At 57.6% G+C, this 3928-nt stretch overlaps 1 protein-coding gene across 2 annotated transcripts, besides 3 other annotated features; it reads left to right on the top strand.

Annotated features, from left to right (window-relative positions):
* Nucleotides 61-230: an enhancer, noted in NCBI's record as "active region_10686". NCBI's record gives its function as "activates an Ori minimal core promoter by ATAC-STARR-seq in GM12878 lymphoblastoid cells {active_cell/tissue: GM12878}" and the evidence as "EXISTENCE:reporter gene assay evidence [ECO:0000049][PMID:35858748]".
* On the top strand, nt 99-3874 carry HIRIP3 (HIRA interacting protein 3). Of its 2 annotated transcripts, NM_003609.5 has the most exons (7): nt 578-654; nt 732-852; nt 978-1092; nt 1352-2289; nt 2387-2555; nt 2638-2736; nt 2825-3865. In NM_003609.5, the coding sequence occupies exons 1-7, from the start codon at nt 590-592 to the stop codon at nt 2986-2988; spliced, it is 1671 nt and encodes a 556-aa protein (NP_003600.2). In that variant the 5' UTR covers nt 578-589; the 3' UTR covers nt 2989-3865. The 2 variants fall into 2 exon arrangements, with proteins under 2 accessions (NP_001184252.1, NP_003600.2); NM_001197323.1 differs by lacking the exon at nt 1352-2289 and having other exon boundaries at nt 99-654; nt 2825-3874.
* Nucleotides 2087-2587: an enhancer, noted in NCBI's record as "H3K4me1 hESC enhancer chr16:30004929-30005429 (GRCh37/hg19 assembly coordinates)". NCBI's record gives its function as "activates a minimal SCP1, AML or CMV promoter by ChIP-STARR-seq in naive and primed H9 embryonic stem cells {active_cell/tissue: H9 hESC(naive and primed)}" and the evidence as "EXISTENCE:reporter gene assay evidence [ECO:0000049][PMID:30033119]".
* Nucleotides 2588-3088: an enhancer, noted in NCBI's record as "H3K4me1 hESC enhancer chr16:30004428-30004928 (GRCh37/hg19 assembly coordinates)". NCBI's record gives its function as "activates a minimal SCP1, AML or CMV promoter by ChIP-STARR-seq in primed H9 embryonic stem cells {active_cell/tissue: H9 hESC(primed)}" and the evidence as "EXISTENCE:reporter gene assay evidence [ECO:0000049][PMID:30033119]".

Below are 3928 nucleotides of genomic sequence, written 5' to 3'. Positions count from 1 at the left end.
ACTCCCGGCGTACCCCGCGCTCAGGGGCGTCACCGCACGGGCCGACCTCCCGGGGGACACTGGGACAGGAGCGCGGCAGCCACTGCGCTGGGGATGGCGTAGCAGCGACGCGGTGACGCCACAAAAATGGCGGACGCTGGAAAGCGCCGTTCCTGACTCTAATGTACTTAGACACTTGAAGCCACAAAAGGATTTATCCCCGAGGTTCCTCATCTGCTCGCGAGGATGCCTTTTCTCTTCTGCCTTGCGAAATAACAGCAGCCTAGCTGTTGCCCGTGACCAGTGAGAAAGGCAGCGTCGCGGGCTGATTAGGTTTCACCCAAAGGGTGCCGGCGCCGAATTGGTTTCTAACGAGAACTTTTAAAATGATCCGTTCCAAAAAAGGGTAGGAGCCGCGAGACCCTCCAACTGCCCAGAGAAAACAAGTCTCGTCTGGCAAAGTTCTCGGCCCACGCGGTCCGCGGCCAAGGGCCAACGGTCCCTCGCCCCACGTTGCCGCAGCACTGCGCGTGCGCGAGCCGCTGTCAAACGCGCTGACGGAGGCCGAGAAGAAAAAAAGGCGGGAGCCGTCAATCCCGGGTTGAGCAAAATGGCGCGGGAGAAGGAGATGCAGGAGTTCACCCGTAGCTTCTTCCGAGGCCGCCCGGACCTCAGGTGCCCAGGGGGTTGGAGATGGGGTTGGAAAGGGCGCGGGTGGGTCGGGACTCCGTCCTGACACCATGTCCCTGCAGCACGCTTACGCATTCCATCGTGCGGCGGAGGTACTTAGCTCACTCGGGCCGCAGCCACCTGGAGCCCGAGGAGAAGCAGGCACTGAAGCGGCTGGTGGAGGAGGAGCTGCTGAAGATGCAGGTGTGCCGGGCCGGAGCCTGGGCCGCGGGAGGCGGAGGCGGGGCTTGCTGCTGAGGAGGAGGGGCCTGACGGGGCGCGGTGAGCGCAGCCTTGGTGCATAGTTTGCCCTCTTGGCGCACACACAGGTGGATGAAGCCGCTTCCAGGGAAGACAAACTGGACCTTACCAAGAAGGGCAAGAGGCCTCCCACCCCTTGTAGCGACCCGGAGAGAAAAAGGTTCCGCTTCAATTCAGAGTCGGGTTAGTGCTTCCTCCCTGCTGTGGGGGCCTTCTGCATCGTTGGTTCACTCAAGAAGCATTCACTGCGCATCTCTTATGTCCCCAGGCGTTAGATGAGGGAGCAAGGCTAGTGAGTCAGGAACCGGGAACAGCAAGTACAGATAGCTGTTTCCTGCTGCCCCTCCAACTGTCAGGGCAGGGCTCGAGGCAACCTATCCGAAGTGAAGGGAGAAGGGACAGGAGGAGCCTGTCTCAACCCTCTCTCCTCTCCATATTCCAGAGTCCGGCTCTGAAGCCTCCAGCCCAGACTACTTTGGACCCCCAGCAAAGAATGGGGTGGCAGCAGAAGTCAGCCCAGCCAAAGAGGAGAATCCAAGGCGAGCCTCAAAGGCAGTTGAGGAGAGCAGTGATGAGGAACGGCAGAGGGACCTGCCCGCACAGAGGGGAGAGGAGAGCAGTGAGGAGGAGGAAAAGGGGTACAAGGGGAAGACTAGGAAGAAACCTGTGGTAAAGAAGCAGGCACCAGGCAAGGCCTCAGTCAGTAGGAAGCAGGCCAGGGAAGAAAGTGAGGAGAGCGAGGCAGAACCCGTTCAGAGGACAGCAAAGAAGGTGGAGGGAAATAAAGGAACTAAAAGCCTGAAGGAAAGTGAACAGGAGAGTGAAGAGGAGATCCTAGCCCAGAAGAAAGAGCAGAGAGAGGAGGAAGTGGAGGAGGAAGAGAAAGAAGAGGATGAGGAAAAGGGGGATTGGAAACCCAGAACCAGGAGCAATGGCCGGAGAAAGTCAGCTAGGGAGGAGAGGAGCTGTAAGCAGAAAAGCCAGGCAAAGAGGCTCTTGGGAGACTCAGACAGCGAGGAAGAGCAGAAAGAGGCAGCCAGCAGTGGGGATGACAGTGGGAGAGATAGAGAACCCCCAGTGCAGAGGAAGAGTGAGGACAGGACCCAGCTTAAGGGTGGGAAGAGGTTGAGTGGAAGCAGCGAGGACGAGGAAGACAGTGGGAAGGGGGAACCCACAGCTAAAGGCTCTAGAAAGATGGCCAGACTGGGCAGCACCAGTGGTGAGGAAAGTGACTTGGAGAGGGAGGTAAGTGACAGCGAGGCAGGGGGAGGCCCCCAGGGGGAGAGGAAGAACCGCTCTTCCAAGAAGAGCTCCAGGAAAGGCAGGACACGAAGCTCCTCTTCCTCCTCAGATGGAAGTCCAGAGGCCAAAGGAGGGAAGGTGAGGGTGAGGAGGGGTGGGAGGCCACTATTAGGGAAGAGGGAGACCCTGCCTCAGGCCCAGCAGGCTTGGCCTTCAGCTGCTCTTTCCTTGCTAGGCTGGCTCAGGTCGCCGTGGAGAGGACCACCCGGCTGTGATGAGGCTGAAGCGCTACATTCGGGCCTGTGGTGCCCATCGAAACTACAAGAAGCTGTTGGGCTCCTGTTGCTCACACAAGGAGCGCCTGAGTATCCTCCGGGCAGAACTGGAAGCGCTAGGCATGAAGGGTGAGGCCCGGCGTGCCCTGGGGGCTGCAGGAGAGGGCCTTCCTGCTGGGGAGGAGAGAATCACCAGCTTCTTCTGCCCCAGGTACCCCTTCCCTAGGGAAGTGTCGGGCCCTGAAGGAGCAGAGGGAGGAGGCAGCTGAGGTGGCCTCCTTGGATGTTGCGAACATCATCAGTGGCTCGGGTAAGGGGTTTCCTCTCACTGCCCAGGAGCAGATAGGTGGGGTTGGACCTTCTCAGACATCTGATCTCTCGTTTCCCCTTTCCCCTAGGCCGGCCACGCAGACGTACAGCCTGGAACCCTTTAGGAGAAGCAGCACCCCCAGGGGAGCTGTACCGACGGACCCTGGACTCAGATGAAGAGCGGCCCCGTCCCGCACCCCCAGACTGGTCACATATGCGTGGCATCATCAGCAGTGATGGCGAGAGTAACTGAGCTCTGCCACCCCCAGGAGGGACCCTTGATACATGTACAAAGCATACATAGCACCCCTTGCCCTGTGTCTGTGGAACAGAAGCAGCTTCCTTCAGAGAAGACTGCAGCTCCCAAGGACACAAGCTGTTGGGATGCTACTTCTCAGCTTCACGCTGTCCCTTTAAGGTGTTTATTTTTTAAGACTCAATAAAGGAGTGTTTTTAATCACCTCATCAAATTTGGTCCCCCATTCTCACCTCCTGTATTTTGGGCCAGGAAACTGAGCAGTAGTCACTGCCTCCACCTCCTCCCCTGGCCTGGTTCCCTTTAATTTCCCCCGGGTTCCTGGAAGAAGTCCCTGCCTCCAGACCCTGTCATCCAACAGCCACCAGACCCTTTTGGAGAAGGGTGTGTGGCTCCTGTGCTGCCCGCCTACCCCGTGGCCCCTCTGCTTTTAGCCTAGTCTGATAACCTAATGCCCACTTGGGAGAGGGATAGAATGACTTGAGGGCAGCCAGTGCTTAAGCCTTCTCCCTTATGCAAACAGCCACTTTGTCCATGGGCTGTTAGCCTCAAAGGGGTGGGGAAAAGCCCATACCTCCTGGGCCAGTCCTAGCCCTCTAGGCCTCTGGCTACAGGCCCAGCCTCTGCAGTCACATGAGGTCTCCACTGAACTCTGGCTGCTGAGGCTTGCGGGAAGATTCGTGAGCATGGAGCTGCCTGGGGTCTGTGTGGGAGGCAAACCTAAGAATCTTTGAAGTCAAAGCAAAGAAAACGAATTAGAGGTCAAGGGGTTGAAGACCACCTTTGAGATCCGAGATCTGGTCACACCTAAAGTCATTAAAATCACTGAAATGTTTAGATACACAGCCCAATAAATTCTCTTTATAAAACACAAGCAGTACTATTCAGTGGCCACTGAGCAGTCCTTCACGCACACCAAAGACAGAAGGGTGAGTCC

This window comes from Homo sapiens, chromosome 16 (genome assembly GCF_000001405.40).
Source record: "Homo sapiens chromosome 16, GRCh38.p14 Primary Assembly".
NCBI lineage: Eukaryota > Metazoa > Chordata > Mammalia > Primates > Hominidae > Homo > Homo sapiens.
This window is presented reverse-complemented; position numbering and strand designations above follow the sequence as displayed.

Excerpts from the sequence above, each read along its gene's own strand:
- HIRIP3 (NM_003609.5), top strand. The coding sequence starts at position 590 with ATGGCGCGGGAGAAGGAGATGCAGGAGTTCACCCGTAGCTTCTTCCGA. Across the intron at positions 655-731 it reads CGAGGCCGCCCGGACCTCAG|CACGCTTACGCATTCCATCG; the intron begins GTGCCCAGGGGG and ends ATGTCCCTGCAG. Across the intron at positions 853-977 it reads AGGAGCTGCTGAAGATGCAG|GTGGATGAAGCCGCTTCCAG; the intron begins GTGTGCCGGGCC and ends GCGCACACACAG.